Source organism: Homo sapiens, chromosome 2 (genome assembly GCF_000001405.40).
Source record: "Homo sapiens chromosome 2, GRCh38.p14 Primary Assembly".
NCBI lineage: Eukaryota > Metazoa > Chordata > Mammalia > Primates > Hominidae > Homo > Homo sapiens.
The window spans coordinates 137,219,449-137,243,185 of record NC_000002.12 but is presented as its reverse complement, the minus strand read 5'-3'; the positions used below and the strand labels follow the sequence as shown (position 1 = coordinate 137,243,185).

The window sequence follows — 23,737 nt, the reverse complement described above, 5'->3', positions numbered from 1 at the left end:
AGGGGATCACTTTAGCATATACTCCTATGTGTTCATCTAGGACTTTGCTGTTAAGTATCCTGGATTAAATACCTTCAAATATACCCAGATGTATAAAGTATCACCATTAAGAATAAAGAAATACAAATCATATATTGCCAATTTCTGTACTTGTTCAACACTTTGTAATGTATCTGCTCTTGTAATCCATGTACTTATATTAATCAGTGATGTGAGCATTGTATTCGAGCCCTATATTCTAATGAGGATACCTGGAACTGGGGTCCAGACACACAAGAGCCACATAGAAACTGTGATTGTGATGATGCTTTATAAGGAATCACATGGGAATGACTGTTCAAAATGCCACAACGGGGTCAGTAGAAGATGAATACTCCTGCAATGCATGCAGGTGGAACTATGACATAAGATAAGAAAATATGTTTTCTCTTCCAAGCTCTGATAGATTTGGAAATACAAGACTTCATTTACAAACTTTACCAAACTTGTTTCCAGGGTGATAGGCAAATGAAAAAAAAAAAAGGTGCTCACATTCCACAACCTCTCACTTACTTAGATGTGGAGAAACAATCAGGTTAGGGAAGAAAGAACTAAGAACGCAGCATCCACCTACCTGCTTGGCACATCCTTGGGCAGGGTGTCCACTCACTGAAAGCAGTCACAATACAGTCTTTTTTGCATGGGAGAAAACAGGGGCGCACAGTTTCAGGTCGAGTAGAATCTGGACATCTGTCAATGTGAAAAGACCATGTCAATGCCTTTTTGAGAGACTAAGCCGTTGAACGCAGAACTATAGGATTTTAGAACCGAAAATATTAAGGGCCTCATGTTCCCTTAATAGGTGAGGGAAGAGAGACTCCTGGAGGTGAAGCTACTTGCCCAAGCGCTCAAAGCTGGAGGCAGAGCCTGAAGCAGACCTCAGCTCTCTTGATCCAAAGACCAAAATAACTTTTCACTACACCAGTAAAAAAATAACCTCTGAAACCAATGAAAGATGAGTGCCAAGAAAGTGTCTCACCATCAGCATCAACTAATTTTATCTTTTTCAGAAGGAAAAAACTGAAATATTATTTTAAATGTTTTATTCAGGGTGATACATCAATTTAGCAATATTCTACAAAAGAAAGGATTATAAAAGAAATATAAACATATATTGGAAAACAAAAATCTTTGATGGACACTTAAAAATACTAGGAATCTTTGATCATTAACAGAATTCTAGACTACTTAAATGATGAACAGGTATTTCTTTCCTTTTCTTTTTTTTTTTTTTTCCTGAGATGGAGTCTCACTCTGTCCCTTAGCCTGGAGTGCAGTGGCACGATCTCGGCTCACTGCAACCTCCACCTCCCAAGTTCAAGTGACTCTCACACCTCAGCCTCTCAAGTAGCTGGGATTACAGGTGCACCATCATGCCTGGCTAATTTTTGTATTTTTAGTAGAGATGGGATTTCACCATGTTAACCAGGATGATCTCGATCTCTCGACCTCATAATCTGCCCTCCTTGGCCTCCCAAAGTGCTGGGATTACAGGCGTGAGCCACCGAGCCCAGTCAATTAACAGGTATTTCTATAGAACACGTAGACTGAAAAGTTGGAAGAAGCAACATATGACAGCCTGTTAATAACAAATATACTAACCAGCATTAACAAGGAAGAAGATATTGATTTTATTACTTTGCTGATAATTAATTTAGTGCCCAGACTTGGGAAGAAAGTAATATAAATAGTTAATGGAGTCACAATTATTTGGAAAACTAAAGTCTCAGCAAATAGCAAGAGAGTTTTTGTTTGTTTGCTTGCTTGCTTGTTTTTAGAGTAGAGATGGCTAACAATCACATTTATTATATTCTACAACAGTGTTACACCAAGAAGAAAAACAGGAAAGCACTTTACGCTATACATTTGGTTTTTAAATTCTGTTTCCCATAAGTTTCATATAAAGAAGAGAATTGCAGTGTGTATAAAGTTTAATAGTGTGAGCTCTGTATTGGATAGCCAGTGCTGAGTTAAGTGCTCTGCCTACATTCTTTCAGTTACTCTTAACAGCAATGATGAGCATTATAATCTTCATTTTCATATGATAAGCTGAGATGTTGAAATAAGTAATGGACCCAAAGCTTCATGGAGACAAAGCACCTGAAAAAATTATGATTGAAAAAACACCAGTCTAGCAAGTTTAAACAGACAGTTAATAGACTTCCAGTAAGAGAGAATAGAGAAAAATGGAAAAGAGAAAATTGATGAGGAAATAATGGACTTAACTATTACAGAATTGAAAAAGAGATGATAATTCAGAGTGAAAAACCCAGGAAGTGTATACAAAATGACCAACATGCAAATACAGGGACTGTCCAAATTTCAAACACAAAGAAAATGTTAAGAGGAGAAACTAGTAATCCCAACGCTTTGGGAGGCCGAGGCAAGAGTATTGCTTGAGGCCAGAAGTTAAACACTAGCCTGGGCAACACAGCCAGACCCTGTGTCTATTAAAAAATATAAAAAATATTAGCTGGGCATGGGGGTACATGCCTGTAGTCCTAGCTACATGGGTTGCTGAGGCCAGAGGATCACTGAAACCCAGGAGTTCAAGGCTGCAGTAAGCTATGATCATACCCCTGCACTCCAGAGCCTGGACAATAAAGCAAGACTCTGTCTCTAAAAAAGAAACAGAGAGAGAGAGAGTGAGAGAAAAAGAAGGAAGGAGGGAGAGAGGGAGGGCAGGCAGAACAGAAACTAATAACTGTTAGGGCAAAAAGGAAGAAAAATGGTTCATCTAAGAAGGGAGAGGAATCTGAGTGACATCAGACCTCATCAACTTACATAATTATAAATCTGAAAGCAATTTCATAGTGTTAACATTTTAGAAACAATGCATAGGCAAAACAGAGACGAATAAATTTTGTTTTGGGATAAAATGTTCCAACACATCATTCTGGTCACAGAGAGTACAGGATGAGAACTAGAAAGAGGAGAGAGGATGGACACTGGATGTCCTCCTCCAACAAAGCAGGTGTTCAGAGAGTTGATCTAAACACAAATGAAATAAGAGACAAAGTCATTATGAACAAAATGTTTGTGTCCCTCCCAAAATCTATATGTTGAAACCTAACCCCCAAAGTGAAAACATCGGATGGTGGAGCCTTTAGGAGATAATTAGATCATGAGGTTGGAGCTCTCATGAATGGCATCAGTGTCCCTTACAAAAAGAGACACCAAGTAGCTGGTTTCCTCTCTGTGTTCTCCACCATGTGAAGATACAAGAAGGTGGCCATCTGCAAACCAGCAAGAGGGCTTTTCCTGGAATTCAACCATGAGGTCACCCTGATCACGGACTTTCAGCCTCCAAAACTGTCAGAAATAAACCTGTTTGTTGTTTCAGCCAACCAGTCTATGCTATTTTTGTTATAGCAGCCCAAACTGACTTTGACAAAGGTTCTAAGAAACTTGATCAAAAGTACTACTGTAACCAACCAAGAGAATGCCAACATTCTGGGAGGAGTTGGGAGAGGAAGTAGTGGAAATGAGCTGAGGTTGATTACTTTCATGGGAGCAAATCACAGAATGACAATTTTAAATTGATAAATGCAGAGCTACATGGCTCTTCTGTGAAAAATACATCCTTTAGAGTTAGGAGGTAAACACCAGAAAGGGAGAAGGGCCAGTGATATATACTTGAATTTGCTTGTATCCACATAAAGATACAGGGGAGGTAGATGAGGAAGGAGTAAAGTGGTTGTTGGGGACAGGGAAGGAGGACGGAAGTGGGTGAATGAGAGCCGGGGTGGCATAAGGCTTCCAACTGTTCACCTTTTTATATTGGTGAACTATGTGTCTGTTTTCCCAATCAAAATTCAGAGAGAGACAGAAAAAAAATTCAGCAACTGTTAAAAAGTGGTTGTGCTATATAAATACATTTTCTGGCTTTGGTAATGTACTATGGTTATGTAAGATGTTACAGCTGGGGGAAGCCGAGTGAAGGGTGTATAGATTTCTCTGTACAACTTTTGCAAGTTGCTGTGGATCTATAATTATTTCAAAAAAAAAGTGGTTGTGTTAAGGAAGTAGGATATGAAGTGGAGGAGGAGGTGGTTGAGAACCTACTGCTTTCCACCATCAGTCCCTCTATTATTTTACTTATACAATAAAACACGTAACGCTTTGATAAAAAATAAACTAATATTAAAAGATATATACCCAGAAAAAATTGCTAATTCATTCTTATTAGTGGCATTATTATTATTAACTATCTTTAATACATATATACACACAAATCATCTATAAAATAGATTGATTCAATGAGCATAACAAGAGAAAGAAAGATGAGTGTCATGGCCGGGCGCGGTGGCTCACGCCTGTAATCCCAGCACTTTGGGAGGCCGAGGCGGGTGGATCATGAGGTCAGGAGATCGAGACCATCCTGGCTAACAAGGTGAAACCCCGTCTCTACTAAAAATACAAAAAATTAGCCGGGCGCGGTGGCGGGCGCCTGTAGTCCCAGCTACTCGGGAGGCTGAGGCAGGAGAATGGCGTGAACCCGGGAAGCGGAGCTTGCAGTGAGCCGAGATTGCGCCACTGCAGTCCGCAGTCCGGCCTGGGCGACAGAGCGAGACTCCGTCTCAAAAAAAAAAAAAAAAAAAAAAAAAAAAAAGAAAGATGAGTGTCATTATCAGGATATAGTGTTATTTAAACAAGCTACTCTGGTAAGGAAAATTTATATCATACTTTAGTTAAGATAAGAAAACACTAAAATCACTCCTAAGTCCCTTATTAATTTTTAAGGTCTTCTAAAAATGAATTCAATTGCCATTTATTCTAACTTTTCTCCATCCTTTCCTGGTAGATAGCTGGGAATGAAAACACAACTTGAGTGATGCCAACTTCCTGTGCCCAGGAGTCACAAGGGTTCCCATACGGACCCACCCAACACTCGAACATTCACAAAACAGCCTGGAAATATTTGTGGCGCAACACTTCAAGCTTTCTATAGAGAGTTGCTAATATCTCAGGAACTTTATCCCCTTCAATTAGGAGTAGGCATTAATCTCTTTTAGGGAACTGATATTGTCAATTTTATTGACCCTTTCCTGGCATCACTCACCATAAACACTCACTGGGTAATACTTGAACTCTCCATGATATGGCCCTTTCTCTCTCTTTTTCTCTTAAGTCTGAAAGAGAGAAAGAGTATCATTCCCTCAAGGGCAAAGGTCAAGCTTAGGTTACAGTGCTATTATAGAAGAAATGAACTGTGGGCTTTCCTGGAAATGCAAGTTATTTTTGGTTTGATAAGGGCCAAATATTTTGTTGCAATGGAAATTGTCTTTTTGTCACTTCCCCTGCCAATGAGGTTTACCCTTTCCTCAGGGATTCAACTTTCTCTTCCTCTTTATCTACACATTGTCTATCCTTTCATGCATCGTCACATTTCCAATTTCCATACATTTTCTCATAGTCTTCAAAAATACAGTCTTTGGCTATTAGGAACCTAGGTTCTCCCCAACTTCTGAAAAAGGTAAAGTTGGTTTTCTGTATCACTGTATTATCACTGACAGAGAAAAGACTTTTGATAACTTTTGGGGTGCTGATGCTGTGTGTGTGCACATACACGCACATGCTGTACATACACTAATTTTGAGTGCCTTGATGGTAGAATTCCATTTTGTATCGTGCCTTAAAAATCCCATATTTAGCTCAGTGTAAACGTTTAGTAACAGTAAGTGAATGACTGAATAGTATTCTGTGCTATCAAAGCCTGAAGACAAATAAATCCCTGGGGAATATTAGACTTATTTCTCCAGCTATTTCCGCAACAAAACTGAAGCCTTGAAACCCAGAGAAACAGATGGATTCACTTTTTAGCTAGTAAGCATACATGGCCCCTTGCCTTTTGTCAAAATTTAACTTCCTGCTTTCATGTAATACTCTGATTTTGGATTAGCAATGCTCTCCATAAAAGGGAACGAATTCCATTTCAATGAATATATTTTCCTGGACTTGCACTGGAATGTTCTACAACTCTTGTCTCTTGGCCTCACTGTAGGCTTCAGCTTTTTTTTTTTTTTTTTTTTTGAGACGGAGTTTCTCTCTTATTGCCCAGGCTGGAGTGTAATGGCGTGCCATCTCAGCTCACTGCAAGCTCTGCCTCCCAGGTTCAAGGGATTCTCCTGCCTCAGCCTCCCGAGTAGCTGGGATTACAGGTGCCTGCCACCACTCCTGGCTAATTTTTGTATTTTTAGTAGAGATGGGGTTTCACCATGTTGGCCAGGCTGGTCTCAAGCTCCTGACCTCAGGTGATCCACCTGCCTCGGCCTCCCAAAGTGCTGGGATTACAGGCATGAGCCACCGCGCCCAGCTAGCTTCAGCTTCTTATAAGCACTGTGCTGAAATACATCACATTGGGCTACAAAGACCTGCCATTTTTTAGCTACACCTCCATAATTAGTCATCTGACCCAGGAACTGATGTATTCATCTCACTCAGCTAGATGGGGAAACCTGCCAAGCTTTTAAATGTTAAATGTTTAAATGGAGCTATTTATTGCTGTATCTCACAAAATGCCAGTTGTTTTCACATTAAAAGCAGAAAGTACCTTATCAGGAACTTTGAAAGGCTTTGAGTTATGTGTTTTCAATCTTTATTATCATTATTTTTTGTACACTGCCACCGGGGAAAGAAAAGCATTGAATAGTAAAACAAAACCGAACACAACTTCAGGAAGATCCCAACAAGCTCTCACTCTGATTCAGTTGTTACCAGCTAGCTCTCATTTTCTGATATGATCAGTTCGATTACTCGTACAATGGTAACAGTCTCACCTGTACAATTACATGGAAACCAAAACACCAACCCAGGGACACAAGAACTTGCGAGAAACTCTATGCCTCTCAGTGCAGTGGGTTTAGAGATATAACATTATTTTGAACCACACGTTCCATGGAGACATGCGTCCTTCTCTGTTTTCTGAAGGCCACTCTTTCTCTAGGATATTTTCTTCTTCCTTTCCATTTCTCTATCCCCATCCCAAAGATTTCATATATGACAGGGGATCTTTTCCCACTGCAATGACTTTCATGTGAAAAAGAGCAAAAATATATTTCTGGAGGCATAGCAAAGGATACTTTATATTGCTGATAATCTCCTTGGGTGCTTCACTGGACACTAGGTATTATTTTCTTAGCTCAATTAATCTCATTAACCTCAAGAATTTTAATTAATTTCACTAAAGTCAATGCAGGCTGCTCATGTTTAACAGGATTATTTGGAGACATACAGTCAGAATTAAAACTAGGTTGTTAAGTCTCCAGCCTCATTAACAGTACAGAAAGTCATTAGCAATGCTTTTATATTTGTGTGTGTATGTTAGGGAAAACATCTGTGCAATTGATTTTTCTGTGTTGGTAAACCACAGCAAAACTGGAGATGATTTACTGTAATAATAATATTTTAGTCTCACTTATGTACATTTTAAAACAAATGCATATTAGCTTATTATGAATTATGTTTTAAACTACAAACTTCTGTTCCTGTGATTTTTTTCTCAAATCCTCTTTAACATTTGAGTAAGCTGATGTGCTCAGAAACCTTCATGAAACTGTGATTCAAAGTAATAATGACGATACAAGAAGAAATAGATGCTGATTTGAACATATAACTCAACTTTTTCTGTCCGAATAGCCCTTTAAAATATGATGATAATTTATGGAATTGGTATCAGTCTCAATTCTAATGCCCCTTTGCTAAAAAATAAACAAGCTACATTCAGGTCCAGTGGATTTTTCCTGTCATAGTGGGTCAAAGATGAAAAGCTTTGTGGAAAGGAGATCAGGCTTCAGGCATGCTAAAATTTTTCATCACTATAAAGAATAATAGTTTGCTGCATTTTATGTAGGGTTACTCCTACATCTAATCCATACTTATTTTTATTTTTATATTCATTCTAATCTTTCGTGCATCTTTTCTTAAGCAGTTGAAAATTCAGGTCATAAAAATAAACATTATCTAGGCTTCAATCCTTCTCAGATAAAAGGAGTTCTCATGTCTGCGTAACACCTTTATAAAACTTTCAGAATTTTACCATAACCTCATGACTTAGGTTATCACCTGAAGCAGGTGATACTAAATGTTATTGTCCATATTTGTCTATAACTTCCATTGATTCATTGGTCCAATCAATCCATGTGCCGCTATGGCTACCAGGTAAGTTGAAAAATACAACTGATACAAGTTGACATTTCCAAGAACACTGCTAATAATGTAGAGTTAGGTTCTAGAGCAAAAACAGTATTTATGAGCTAAAAAGAGCAGGTCATATGTATGATATGCTCACTAATTTTCATGATAGTCCCCTTTAACAAAATTTATCATGGGAGATTAAATATGTTTTTCTTGAAGCAAAAGATAAACATACACTTCCCTTGATCTTCATATCCAATCCTTGGCAAACCGATCACTCCTCTACATATAGGTTTAGCTCATTCATAAATTCCAGAAATGTTTATACTAACTACCTGCCAGATGCTGTGCTAGACTAGGGTTGGAACAAGAAAGAACACCCAATCCCAGCACTCTGGGAGCCACATTTAGGAGAAGAGAAAGGTCAAGTGTTCCAGGCTATGCTTCCCTTCAAGTCACAGTACGACTTGCAAATACACATCTTCATGTGTATTTGCAAAACCACCAGCTCATCAAATGCTCTAACACAAGCTCTGGGCAGTGTCTGCCAGTCTGCACTCTATCTGCTGCCGTAAGCAGTTCATTTCCCATAACGGAGCTTGGGTGACTTTCCTTACACATGGCCAAAGTGGCTTCCATGACAGTGTGGATCAGGCCCAGAGCCCTTCACCGTGGTTCCCCAGATGAAATTTTTCAGTGTTTCCATTGCCCATGAGAGAAACACAAATTAAATTGAATTAGGCAGAACATCAAATGTATTTTCATATTTTGCCATGGAGGGCAGGGTGTAGTCAGTAGGGACAGGACCACGGTTCAGTGCTGCCAGGATTTGTTCCAACTGCATATCTGTTTCTTCCTGAGCATCAGAATCAATCTCTCCTTTTACTTTTTCCACCAGACTTGACCCTGTCTGTGGCAACTCTCAGCTCATATGCTTAGAGTATGATGAACAGAAAATAAATGAGTTTCATTCTCCCAGCTTGAAAATTCCTGGGGAGGCACTGTATGTTGCCTAGCTTATGACACTAGACCAAAGCTGGCACCAGCTCATCCTAGTGGCCCACACCTGTGCCTGGAGTGGGGTCTCCAAATATGGCCACTGGGAATCTTTCCAGATAGAACAGTCACAAGTCTCTCTATAATGCATAGGGCCCTTCTGTTTTCTTCTTTACCAGCCTTCCCACAGGGACTTTAGGAAAACATACATCTCCTCATTTGGTCTAGTGATAAAACTCCCACAGCCAGTTCTTTAGTCAATTACTTTTTTTCCTCCAATCATTTGCAGTTGTTCTTGATCGTTTTGACATCTATATCCTAGTTTCCAAGCCCATATTTTGCTACTCTCTTTAAAAAGTTTTATATCTCCATGTACATAGAGTATAACATGCATGAGATTGTAAACTTCTGGAGGGCATGGATTCATTAGTCTAATTAGAATGGCTGTATGGATGTATCTATTTAATGCAGGAGAGATCTGTGGAGTCTAAAGAAGAGTAAGACACAACCCTATATTTCAAAGCACAGAACCTAGCTTTATGTTGACCTCGTCTTTATGTGATTTGAGAAGAGTAAAAAATACAGAGATCAGCTCTAGAAAATTTGATTATTCAAAAGCATTCAATGTTTGTGGACACTATTCATTTTTATCCAAGAACTGATATATTAATACATGTTATAAATGCACCAGTGATATATATCATAAACACGTTTATCTTTGTTTGAGGCACATGTTTTAATCTTTAATGGTCAAACAGCAACAACAAACCCTCTTACTCTATCAGAGACCCAGAAATATCTATTGCTTGATAAATGCTTTCAACTAAAAATACTCAACATGAAATAAGCAAATGCATTTTCAGTAACAGCCTAATAAATACCTTTTGGTCATTACTTGTCCCACGTGACTCTTGACACAGAAGACTCTCCGAGTCTGAATGCCTACACCACACGTGGCTTCTCCATTCCAGCCAATGGTTGCATTAAGGGCAGTTACCAATGTGTCCTCAGAACAAGGGCCCCAAGGCGATGTCTCCCAGTGAAGCTGCATACAGGAATGGTCATTACACAAACGATGCTCTTGGAGAGCCTGACTAGGGGGACATGGCTTTCCACCTGCCAAAAATAAGAACAAAAGGTAATACATAGTGGTTGCTGTTCTTGTTTTTGTTGTTTCTGCTGCTTTAATGGTCTAGAGAGACAGCTTTGCTGACACAGCCTTCCAAAGACCTGAGCCACTGCACTGTTCTTCTCAGTCTAAGAACAGGGATTTTTGTCCCAAGCAACACCTGAGGAAAATATTGTACACTCCTTTCCACTAAATAACAAGCAGCAGTCCACATCAATTAGATTTTAAAATTAATTGACTCTGTTGCCCACCACTGCAGCATGTATCTCTGAGATAAACTCCAAAGAAACCTGCTTTTCAAAAAATATTTCTATGCTTCTTATATTCATGTATTAGCCAGTTAGAATAGTCTATGACCTCGAAGTGATATTAGTTTGAATGAGCACACACACACACACACCCCTTATGCAGCACGGTCTTCCTAAGAGAGGCATTATTTTTCTAAGAGAACTATTTTAAGACACCTATCCTCTATCAAGCAGTGCATTTCACTGCAATTTGAGAAATCCAGAAATATCTGTTGAAGTTTGTTTGGAGAAGAAAACCCCTCCTTAAACTCTGAAATAATACCTGACAATGTGCTATCCCCTGGCAGGAAGACCAGACATATATGCATCCATAGACTCTTGGATGAGTCAGACAATCCAATTTCATTATTGTCCTTTTCTGACATTTTTATATCCATATAAAAAGTGGTATTTATCTAAAGCATCGATCTTTGCCTACTCTTCTACACTTTAATGGTTTATTCAGTGGCCCAAATGCCCAGGATCTGTGACCTTGGTTTTGTTATTCTTGATTTTTTTCCCATTCACTCCTTCCAGAAATATAAAAGAAAAGAGAAGGAACCATCTTCACTTTAAGAATATGAAAATCTTCATTTATCTTGACCCTGGCCCCATTTCGCAGGATCAAAGAACAGAAACTTACTTAAAAAGTAGCTCCTCACAGCCAGTGGCCATGCTGTCCTGCTGTTCTAACTGAGCCATGGGCAGAAAAAGCCAAGGGAGGGCATGAAAGAAATGACGTGTGCTGGAGACAGAGACCATCACCATAAATTACAGGAACAGCTGCTCCTCTAATTTGTTCTGACGTCACCCACTTATATTCTCATAGCACTTTTTAGCTTCATCAAAGCCATTTTCACAGCCTCCATGATGTGCCCCCCTCCTGCAGAATGCTGGCATGACAGGATACCAGCATGCACGGATCAGGTAGTTTGCAGATGTTAGTGGCAGTTCCCAGTTGAGAAGCCATGTCTCCTGATTATTAATTTGAAGCTCTTTTTACTAAACATAGTCTAATTATGTTCCCAACTGCACAAGCTATCTTTGGTTTGGGTGTGTATCAACCAAATTCTGCTTTCTTGTCTAAGAAGGGTTCTGTAAAATAACATCCATCTGATTGCCATGGCCCATACACAGGTATGTGGTAAAGCAATTCATGTAAATGGGTTAAGCCAGTATAGCTTAACTAGAGAATCAAAGCAAAAAGCATGGAGGGAAATGAAACTGTTAATCTGGATTCAGGGAATAGAGATATCGTCTATGTGTGACTATTTCCTCCATATAAACTTCTCTATCACCAATGAGGAAAAATGATAATAATTGGGCTAATGAATCCAAAGTGAAAACCTTTTCTGTTACTCACCTTCCCCAGCCAGTGCCAGGATAGTTCTTGACCTGGTCTGTTTCCCATCTGAGTTTTTATTTGAACAGGACTGGGAACAGGATGACCACTCCGTCCACTCGCTCAGCACACAGTCCATTCGGCAGGGAATTTCACAAGACTTCCTCTCAGGAGGAGGGGGAACTGGGCAAAGACTCCCTGATACATCTTCTCCTACAATCAACAAGATCAAGACAGTTGGTGATTAATGCACAATCAAGCCTCACTGCTTTATCTATTACTTCAGTTTAAAGTACCCCCCCAAAAATGATAGTTTCTTCAGCCATTCACAATATTTACATCAGAAAAAACTGCCAGGAGATAATTTGGCATTTAGAAAGGTAGACACTACAGCAAAACTCCCATTTGTAATCTTTCATAGAGACAAAGTTGGCTTCTTTCAGAAACAATTTAGCCACGGATGGCTAAAGATGGACCTGGTGGATGTGTTATGGACAACCATATATAACAAGTATATGCTTTTCTTCAAAACGGAAGTCAGAGCTGTCCGTTCACCTGAAAACCACAATTTATGTTGACCCTTCTAATCTACTAAATTAAAAGGAATTTTATAATTCTAGTTTTCTTTTGGGTACATTCACCTCCAAATATGCAACCTTATGCAATATTATCACACAATGACTGTTTTGTTCTCCTTTTTCATAGTGGTAAATTATCTGAAACTAAAATGAAAATGGACCTGTGGCTAAAATTATATAACGTGTTGACATAAAGTTGACAGCCAGTCTGAAGTTCTCCCTAATACATTTAATATTCCCCCTTGAATAATCTAATGCATTGCTAAACCAAAAAATAACTGTACTCAAAAATATGGCACAAACACACCAGATGTCAAGGATCCTCAATTTTGCTATTGCCTCAGTACCTTTCTGTAAATACTATTTACAATCCTTTGATACCATATCATAGAACATGATTTTTCAGAAACTATAAAATAATGGAGTTTTATAATTAACAGATGTTAGGACTAAAGGGATAATTTCTAAGTAATGGAAAAATATTTCAAATGACTACAATGGCTAATTAAAACTCTCAGGTTGTTTATTTCCTATTAGTAGAATTCAAATATTCCTCTTTTATAGATAATAACTCAACTCTTACTATTCCCCTCATTCACAGTCTCCTCATAAAAACAGAGGACACAAAGAATAGTGACGTCATTTATTGTTTGAAATAACAACATAAAACATGAAATGGCAACTATAGGAGAGAGGCGGTTTTGTTTGTATGACTTTATGGCTTTGAAATTCTCTTGTCATGATCTGGCTGAAACAAAAAAATAAACGCGAAGGGGACTAGTATTTATTGAACATCTCCTTGCGCCAGGCACTGTGTTTTGCATATATCATTCAGGCTTTGCATATGTTATTGAGTCCTCACAAGAAACTCTGAATGACAAGTGTGATCCATCTCATCTCACAGATGAGGGCTCAGAGCAGAGGCTCAGAGAGGAAAGTTTGCTCATGCTTACACGGGCCTGAGCTGGGGAGCAAATCCGAACCCTCTGACTCTGAAACTTCTGCTTCTCCCATTAACCGTGCTGTGTCTAATTCCAAGGAGATGGATATTCTTTTTCTGAGGAAGTCAATAAAACAAGCTGACAGTCAGCAAGACTGCCTGAAGGAGAAGATAGTGCACAGCTAATATCTGCGTTCATATTTGTAAATGAGGCCAGGCTCATTGCCCTTGAGGTACAAATAAAGCTTTTCAAGCATATTATGAGAAGTAATAGACGTTCTAGCAGATAATCAAGCTGAAAAACCAGTTCCAATAATTCTCTCTTCAGTCTCAATCTATTTCCAGGTTGAGTTCACACTGTGTGTAACACACACACACACACACACACCCAATACAGCACTTTCACAAGTATAGAAGCAGGCAGGCCAAACAAAAGGCCCAACCTACATCTAATCAAAATTTAATTTCCACACTTGTGAATATTATTAACATAATCTGTGCACAAAATACTTTAAAGCTATGTCTTGCAATAAACCTTTTGAGGAACAAGATATTTGTAGGGGTTTTATGAATAAAAGTAAGGGGAAAGGTGGTGAGGGTTGGGTTAAAAATAGTAACATTGGTTTCATTACTGAAAAATTTCTCAGTGTTGAAAATGCCAATATACATTGTAAGTTTCCTAGAAGGTAAATGAGATGTAGTGCTCTTCACCTGTATTTGATCGAGGGCCACACTTTTGGAAGAGCATCTCTATCTTTCTTTCAGAAATGGTACTTTTATGAGTATGCTTTGAGAAAACTCTACATTAAAGAACTATGAAATTGTTAACTACTATTTGATGAGTAAATACTATGTCCAAGGCATATGATGGGATAAAAATAGATGGGCTCACTGTTACTTATCTTTCTAGAGCTCATGATTAATGATGAAGATGAGCTATTAACACATAAAAGTAAAACGAAGGCCAAAAGTAAATGTCAAGTTGCAACTGCGTGATTCAAACACAAAATATTTTAGTGATTCAGTGGATTGGCATGGTTCCCTCCAATAATGGAAATAAAAGGGCTGAGAACTTGTGGCAAGGATGGAGGGTATTTCAGGCGTTGGAAGGATCAGCAAAGGTTAGGTAGGAAAATACGAGGTATCTGGAAGATAGTTAATACTGAAGGTGCATGATGAGAAGAGAAAGACTATCTTGGAGGAGTTATTTGACATCAAATTCCAAATGATCTAGACTGAAACATAAGTTTTATTGTATCTCTGCCTTCCTTAAATTCCCAGTTACTCAGGTTTCCCATGACCCAAATTTACCATCCTCCCTGTCATTACATTCATTGTTGTCAGTATTCACTTCAGGTGCTCAAATACTTTTTAAAATCTCAGCTTTTTTATAAGCTGATATACCTATTTCCTCAGTGAACTTTAATGTCAATACTCCCACCAACACCAACCTTTTGGTAGTTTGGCTATACAGGCTAATTCAGAAAAGGGAACAAATAGATCAGAACTTTAGGGAAGCAAAACTAATAGTCATAAGCATCCTGTAATTCCTGTGGGAGTTATTTTAAAAGAAATCTTGAAAAAAAAAAAAACAGCTGCACAGTGAGGTTTCAGCTGCAATGTGTCTAGCCAGACTCAATTAAGTGTATTAAGGTGAGTTGTAGCTACCAACATTTAGTCACTTAAGGACATCACTTAACATTTTTGAACGTCAATTATTTCATTTGTAGGAATCAAATAATGATGTTTACCTTTTAGAGCTATTCTAAGGATTAGGATTCATTTATTCAACATACATATCTAGGTGTCTAACACATGGTGAGCTCTCAATATAGGGGAACCTTAAAAAATGTCTTTGCAAAGACATATACCACAAAAAATGGTCTTCATCTGAAATCTAGATATTTATGTCACAGCCATGAAAAGCACTTGCTTTACTATTCATATTTGTACAAATGACAATTAACAGTTTCATAGATTGGTTTACATAAAATATTTAAAAACTTATAATTACACAGATCCTTTTATTGACATGGTTGGCTAATCTAAACCATCTAAGAGCCAAAAATAAAGCACTTGAGCCTAAATAACCTCATCTGCCCATATACATTGGTATAATTATCTTCCCATTGTGCAGACAGAACCCATCTCAGAAGAGGAACATTTATGCTTTCCTGTTTTTATTTTCTTGGATGGATCAATGAGACCATGGAAATCTCAGGCAAGCATGGAAAATAAAGCCCTACATAGTTCAGAAGCTTAGCCATTAAAAGTGATTTTCACAAGCTCGGATAATCTAATGTCATAATAAAATGGAATATATTTAAGAGGGAAATTGAATTCATCTTTCAAAAAGGCTCTGTAAAATTATTCCCAGCACTCACCAGGCTCCCTGGGATCAATAAGAGCAAACTCCCTGTTCTCTCCTTGTGGAATAGACTTATTTAAACCAGTTATGATTCTGGAAAAATGGAAAATCGTTCTGCTTTGACCGTGTCACTTGGGATTTTGAAAAATAATTTAATGTGATGAAATTCACATAACATAAAATTAACTGTTTTGAAGTAAACATTTCAGTGGCATTTAGCACATTCACAATGGTTACAAAATATTTTAATCACTCCAAAGTAAAGCCCCATACGCATTGAGCAGTTTCTGTTACCTCTTCCCCACAGCCTCTGGAAACTGCTAATTTACATTCTTTCTGTCTCTATGAATTTATTTATTCTGAATATTTTATATATATTTGTGATCTTTTGCATCTGGCTTCTTTAAGCATAGTATTTTGGAGGCACATTCACCTTACAGCATGTTTCAGAACTTCATTCCATTTTATGAATGAACAATATTCCATTGTATGTATATACTGAAATGTGTTTATTCATCTGTCGATAGACATTTGGGCTGTTCCCATATTTTGGTTATTATGAATACTACTGCTATGAATATGCATGTGCATATACTTGTTTGAATACCTGTTTCTACTTATTTGGGATATACATCTAGGAGTGGAATTCTGGAGTCACATTTATCACTCAATTTTGCTCACTGGTGATTCTAGGGGCTGTGGCATAGATAGCCAGATGAATAGGCTCTGGCTACAGTTCACACTACTCTTCTAATACCTGCCCATTTCCAGCAGAATCAAAAGCACTTGGACACGACAAAGATTCTTAACATATGAATATACTCAAGATCATTTAAGAATGTTTCTTTTTTTCAGTTCAAATGTATATACCAATTAAAAATAAAATATAAATAGCAGTTATATTTTATAAAAATAAACAAACAGCATAGTCTATAATTCTTATTTTCTGACCCTAGAGTACAGGTGTCTAAAGAGAGAAAGAAAAAAATAAAGATATGAACAAAGTACAAAGAAAAAGAAAATAAAAAAAACCTAGACAACCATGAATCCACAGTGTAATTTGAAAAGTAGACCAACATTTTGCTATGATACAAACTTCAAACTACCTTACTCGTCCAAAAATAATGCATACTGGGTACTTTATTGATATTTCCTCTTGTATGCTATTACACTATGGAAAACAATGAAACAGTTATCGAAAATACTCTACATGTCATAAAATTTTATGTCCTACTTAAATCTAAGAAAAGAATGCCAATAAACCTTGATTAAATGCTTGCCCACAGCTGAGTAAGATATCAACAGAGTAAGTAGCAAATTTAGTGGAACTCATATGCTTTTAATTCCATTTTTAAAATCTAAATATTATGTCCTCAAAAGCAAGTAGCACCTGGCCACTTCTGGATTGAGACCCTAACCAGCTAAGGAAATGTTTATATTCAGAACCAATAAAATATGGAACAAAAGCTAAGGGCAAAACAGAAGCTATGAACAACATCCTAATATTGCTAACAACACAATTAATGTCTCTGCTTGCTAATTTCAGAATTGGAAGCATATTTGTCTATTTAGCTTACACATATAGGAAATACATAAAGAAACTCAATGTCAAATATTATAATAACAAAAACAACATCAACAACTGCAGTAAAATAACAATAGCATCTGATATTTGGGAAAGCTTAGAGTGGACTAAACTCTAGCTAACCACATCACATGCAGTATTTCACTGAATATTCATATTAATATCATTAGTTTGGCACTATTGTTACACCTGAGGCATGAAGAAGTTAAAAAACTTTCTCAAAGTTTTTTCCTTACACAGCCAGTGTCTGAGCTGGGTTTGGAAAGCAGATCTGCAATATGTAATAAGCTCAGTTCTTATCCATTGGGGTTGTGTTGCTTTCTGGTTCATATCTCACATATATCTTTCTCTTTACATTACTTTTAGATAATACCAAACCATAAATAAGGGACTCTACACAATTCATTGTCAGCTCATCAGTAAATCTAGCACTGGGGGAGCAAGCCCAGAAGAGTGGGCACCTTGATTATTTTGGAACTGCATCATGGCATGGGGTGGAATTGAACAATGCTTTTCCAACATAGAAAAGATGAGTAGATGAAAGACAGTTCAGAACGAAGAGATGGGAGGAAGTGATAGAATACAAGGCCACATAAGTAAAGACTCAAGTAGGGAGATTCAGCAAAAACTGTACAATGTATGATGAGCTAAATTACACAAACACAGGCAAAAAATATAATAATGATGTAAAGATGCTCACAAAGTGAAAAACATTGAAGTTCTAAGAACTGATAGAAGTAAAGAAAGAGAACATAGAGCAAAGGCTAAAATGAACATGGGAGGAAAACCCAAAAGAGACATTAAAAAGAAAATACTTTAGATAAGAAATAATAGCAATAATAAATGAAGAATAAGAAAAAAATATTTCCAAATAAACATGATTACAAAGGCCAGGAATTAGCTAAAATTGCATCCATGTGGCAAGTGAGCTGTTTGTTTCAGAAGCCTAACTGGGTATACAAAGTTCTTCAACATACAATAATATAATAAGAGTAGCTAAGCAGGAGAATGGCGTGAACCCGGGAGGCGGAGCTTGCAGTGAGCCGAGATCGCGCCACTGCACTCCAGCCTGGGCGACAGAGCGAGACTCCATCTCAAAATAATAATAATGATAATAATAATAGTAGCTAACAATTTGATCACCTAGGATGTACTCAGAAACATACTGTTATGTCCTACAAGTATTAGCTTATTTAACCCTCAAAGCATTAATATCAGTAAACACATGCATAGTACTTAATAGATGTCAGTTTCTGCCCCAAGTAAATCACCTATATTAATTCATTTAAATTTCACAGTAGTCCTATGTGGGAACTATCTTTATTAATAAAGGCACTGTGTCTTGGGTAAGTTAAACATTCTGTGTAGGAACAAACACAAGTAAATCGTGGAGCTTGAATTTGGACATGGACAACCTAGTCAGAGTATGTTTCTTAATCATGATGCTCTACAGATACTCAAGCGTTCTATTCTCTCTCAGGACAATTTATGTACCTGGCTACAGAAGGCTCAATCCACTGGAAAGTCAGTGAAATGTAAGTATGATCACACCTTTAGTAAACGAATTCTGTACTATGTGTTACTCAAGGTGAGAAGAGATGTGAAAGAGCAGAAACAGACTCTATGATTTAGGAGCAAACTGCAGTTGCTCAAAAACAACAAATCGAGCAAAAATCTAACCAAATGTCTTAGTGGTTGTGTTAGTTCATTCTCACACTGTTATAAAGAACTACCTGGGTAATTTATAAAGAAAAGAGGTTAAATTGGCTCATGGTTCCACAGGCTGTACAGGAAGCACGGCTGGAAAGGCCTCAGGAAACTTACATCATTGGCAGAAGGGGGAGCAGTCACACCTTACAGGGCTGAGTTAGGAGGAAGCGGGGGTGGGAGGATACTGCACACTTTTAAACAACCACATCACATGAGAACTCACAGTCAAGAGAAGAGCAAGGGGAATATCCGCCTCCATGTTCCAGTCACCTCCCATCAGGCCCCTCCTCCCAATATTCGAGATTACAATTCAACATGAGATTTGGGTAGAGTCACAAATTCAAACCACATCAGTGCTGAAATGTTACATTGAGGGGGTCCAGTCACACATTCCAGGAGGAAGCAATCACTATTTTATATTTGTGTAAAGAGTTTGAAAATTACTATAACTAAAATGCAGGGAAAAAATGTTGGCTTTTTTTGTTCCTAAAAATAACGCCAACTTGTTGATAAGCCTTTCAGCTTGGTAGTCAGGGTGGGTGAGAACAGGGTAAGAAGGTATCCATTTAAAGTAACTTAGCACTGGATGGTAAAACTCGATATTTCATTTTTAACTCAATCTCAGGTTTTCAATGTTTCTCCTCTGTCTCTTTTCTCATTTTCTCTGGGCAGCAGCCAAGGGTCAGAGAAACATGTACGTAACAATGTTGGACATGTTGTGTGAATTTTGCTGGTTCTCCAACTGAGCTATTGCCATCAAATTGGTCTTCGTGTATTATTACCTAGTCTTGAAAGCGCACCTGCAGCCACTGCGAATTTCTAGGGTCCATGACACAGTTTTCCTATCTTCTGGTCCACATACTTCACAGCCACCTACACCTGACTTCAAGCCAGTTCTAGTTTCCTGGAGCAGTCAACATTTCCACAGCCCATACAGGGACACTCAGGAATTTCAGGACTATCCCCACATGATAAAACAGGCCTGGGAAGACCTGGTTTGGAGGGTGGGTAGCAGCTAGCTCAGGCCCACTCTGTGCCTAAACACAGGGAACCATTTTCTCTGCTTTCAGTTTCCTTTTAACCTATCTGAAATTTCCATAGTTGTCATTTCTTCAGCCCAGTATTTCATCCACAGAATGAGAGAGGCCAGGGACTCTCACTATCTACTATCTTCTCCACATCCTCCCCAGGCTCCTCCTTTCTGACCCAGGAAGCCAGCAATGTGGGATCCAGGCTTATGCTAACACTCTACACTCCAGTCCTTTGGCCTTCCTTTTTGATATTTGAAGGGAGCTATGTGGTATTTACAAAGCACTCTTCTATACGCCTGGCTCTTGCACATGAATTACCGACTTTCAGAATTATTGTCTCTGATGTGAGCTCCATTTTGTGGCACTAACTCTTTTCTGTATGTTTGTATTTGAGGTATAATTATCCAAATTTTTCCAGTGCATGCCTCAGAAATCAACAGGGGGAGGGTTTCTTGCCCACGAAGGTATACAGGAAAAAAGCAGACTGCAACATCTCAAAATATGATCTGATGACATCTACTTAATATGGAAACCTTGTTTCTCATGAGAGTTTTGCAGAAAAACTCTGTATAATTTTCAAAACATGAATCCAGAATAAAATAATAAAATGAATATGTGACCTCTGTAATGTAGGAAATGTTTCTTCAAAAGGAAAATATTGGAGCAAATAAACAGTGCATTATAATGGACAGAATAGTTGATGAGTAGTTGGGACGTCTGGATTTCAGTTCTGCTTTTGACATTTACCAAAATGTGACGCTGGAAAATTATTAAGCTTATTAGGCCTAAGATACCTGCCATAAGTGAGGAAAGGGCAGTACTAACATTTCTGATTATATTATTGGGTTTGATGATGGATCAAAGTGGGTAATAGAAAATAATATTTAGAAAATTACAAACACTATTTATACATAATGTGGTTTTCTTATTATTGGTAAAAATGGAGATAAAGGACATTCCAAATAGAAAAATGATTTGAGTTAAAGATACTATGTCTCTTACTCATCCTAATTTTGTCTTAGCTAGAAAAGTATAAGAGGAACTGAAAGGATTATGAAGTCAGAAATAATATTACTCATTTCATTTAGCTGCCTAGCTAGCTCTGCAGAAAAGAATCTGGACCAGCTTCAACATGAGGTATACCTTTACAAAGTACTTCAAATTATCTAGAAGTTTCTTAAATAGTTGAAAAATCAAAACTTTTAAGTTAGATTGGGTAAGTCAATAGAGTAAATTGGTAACACATCACTAAAGAATAATCATTTATCTCTGTAATTAACCTTCAGAAACATAACTTTAATGTCTGTACATGGGAAAAGTATGGTAATTTATTTAACTACCTCACTATAATTGCACAATTAAGATGTTTTCAATTTCTCTGTGATAAATAACACCCCAAAAATATTCTTGACCATAACACGTTGATTACTTTCCTAAGAATAGATTTCTTGAAATGGAAAAACAAAGTCAAAAAACATAAACTTCATTAAGGTTCTTAGTAGAAAAAGTTGCCTATTTTCTTTTTTTCCATTATTTATCATCACACATAGCTTTTTAATGTACATTCAATAAAATTCACTCTTTGTAGTTGTATAGTTCTATGGGTTCTGGCAAATGCACAGTCTTGTATCCATCACCAAAATGACGAGGCAGGACAGTTCTATCACCACTAAAAACTTCCCTTGAGGGGTCCCCCTGTAGTCAATCCCTCCCCATCAGTTCTAACTTTTTGTTTTTGTTTTTGTTTTTGTTTTTTTTGAGACGGAGCCTTGCTCTGTCACCCAGGCTGGAGTGCAGTGGCGCAATCTCGGCTCACTGCAAGCTCCGCCTCCCGGGTTCAAGCCATTCTCCTGCCTCAGCCTCCCGAATAGCTGGGACTACAGGTGCCCGCCACCACTCCTGCCTAATTTTTGTATTTTTAAGAGAGACGGGGTTTCACCGTGGTCTTGATCTCCTGACCTCGTGATCCGCCCGCCTCGGACTCCCAAAGTGCTGGGATTACAGGCGTGAGCCAGTTCTAACTTTTCGGAACGACTGAGAAGGCACCTGTCCCTATAGTTTTGCTTCCCTCCTCCCCCAGAATGTCATATATATAAAAAATGATGCAGTCTGTATCATTTGAGGTCTTACTTCTTTCACACAGCAAAGTGCAATTTAGGTTCATTCATGTTACTGTCTCTATGAATTAGTCATTCTTTTTTGTTGCTGAATAGCATTGCATTGTATGGATGTAGAAGGTTTTGTTTATTCATTCTCCTGCTTAAAGACTTTTGGGTTGTTTCCAGGTTTTGGCGATTGTGCATAAAGCTGCTATGCAAGATTACTACAAGTTTTCATTTCTCTTGGGTAAATAATTAAGGGTGAAATTGCTGAATCATATGGCAAGTGTAGATGTTATAAGACACTGCCAAACTGTTCTCCAAAGTGTCTGCACTCTTTTGCCTTCCCATGAGCAATGTTTGAGAGTTCTACATTGCTCTAACTGTTCTACACCCTTAATAGCACTTGGTATAACCAGTTTCTTTCTGTTCTTTATTGAATTGTTGTCATTCTTATAGGTGGGTAGTGTTATTAAACTGTATTTTTAATTTGCATTTTCCTATTGACTAATGATGCATCTTTTCATGTGCTTATTTGCCATCCGTATATCTTTGGTGAAGAGTCTTTTCAAATCTTTGGCTTATTATTTTAATTGGGATTTTTTTTTATTGTTGAGTTTTGTAAGTTCCTTATACATTCTAGAAAGAAATTATTTGTCACACATGTGATTTGAAAATGTCCTTTTAGAGTCTTTTTTTTTTCCATTTTCTAAACAGTGTCTTCTGCAGAGAAAGTTTTAATTTTGCTGAAGTCATCTTATTAACTTTTTCCTGTATAGATTGTGGTGCTGTATTCAGTTTGTATTTAAAAATACAAATTTTCAGGAAGGAACAGAAAATACATTGCTCTATGCACACACACAAAAAAAGAGAGTTGAAACTTCTGTATTAGAACATATAATTTTATAATTTTGGATAGAGTGAATTCTCCAACCAGTGTGTCCTAGTATACAACACCAACACTAGTTTTCACCTACAGTTCTATAGCACAATTTTTCCATAGTGAATGTTTACTGAAGTAACAACTGAGAGTCTAGCACTATAACATCCTGTCAACCTGTATGATGCAATGAAAATTACCTTGTGGCTGAAATATTATTTAGTATCCATTTAGTATAATGCACCATGATGAAGGTGAGACTGCTGTTTATAACATTGTGCAAACATCCGGCACAATGTCAGCCACATAGTAGGTCTCAATAAATTTTGGATGAAGAAGTAAATGAGAAGTAAAGGGAAAGATGTTTAGTCTACTTAATGCATAAGCAATCTTTTGCTTTTACAGTATTTGCTCCTACTAGTTTTTATGATATAATTGTGACAGTAACATATTGAAAGTTACAGACCATGGCAAACCATTTTCACTCTAACACATTTTTCAGCTCAGGCCTCTAGGAAGCTTGACTTTGAATAAAGTATGCAAAAAGCAAGATGAGCTTGCCTTTTTCTTGAGTTGGTTGGTAACCTCTTCTGTTTTTGTCTGAATTATATGCCTGC

The 23,737-nt window shown here is 37.7% G+C and overlaps 1 protein-coding gene across 2 annotated transcripts in view; it reads right to left on the bottom strand.

Annotated features, from left to right (window-relative positions):
- The window catches only part of THSD7B (thrombospondin type 1 domain containing 7B), a 912,174-nt gene that overhangs the window by 434,533 nt on the left and 453,904 nt on the right, over window positions 1-23,737 (bottom strand). For both annotated transcript variants that reach the window (NM_001316349.2, XM_047445935.1), the window contains exons 8-10: window positions 11,951-12,142; window positions 10,053-10,287; window positions 614-729 (exon numbers count right to left, since the gene is read on the bottom strand). In NM_001316349.2, coding sequence (NP_001303278.1) covers window positions 614-729; window positions 10,053-10,287; window positions 11,951-12,142 — 543 coding nt within the window. The remainder of the gene's footprint in view (window positions 1-613; window positions 730-10,052; window positions 10,288-11,950; window positions 12,143-23,737) is intronic.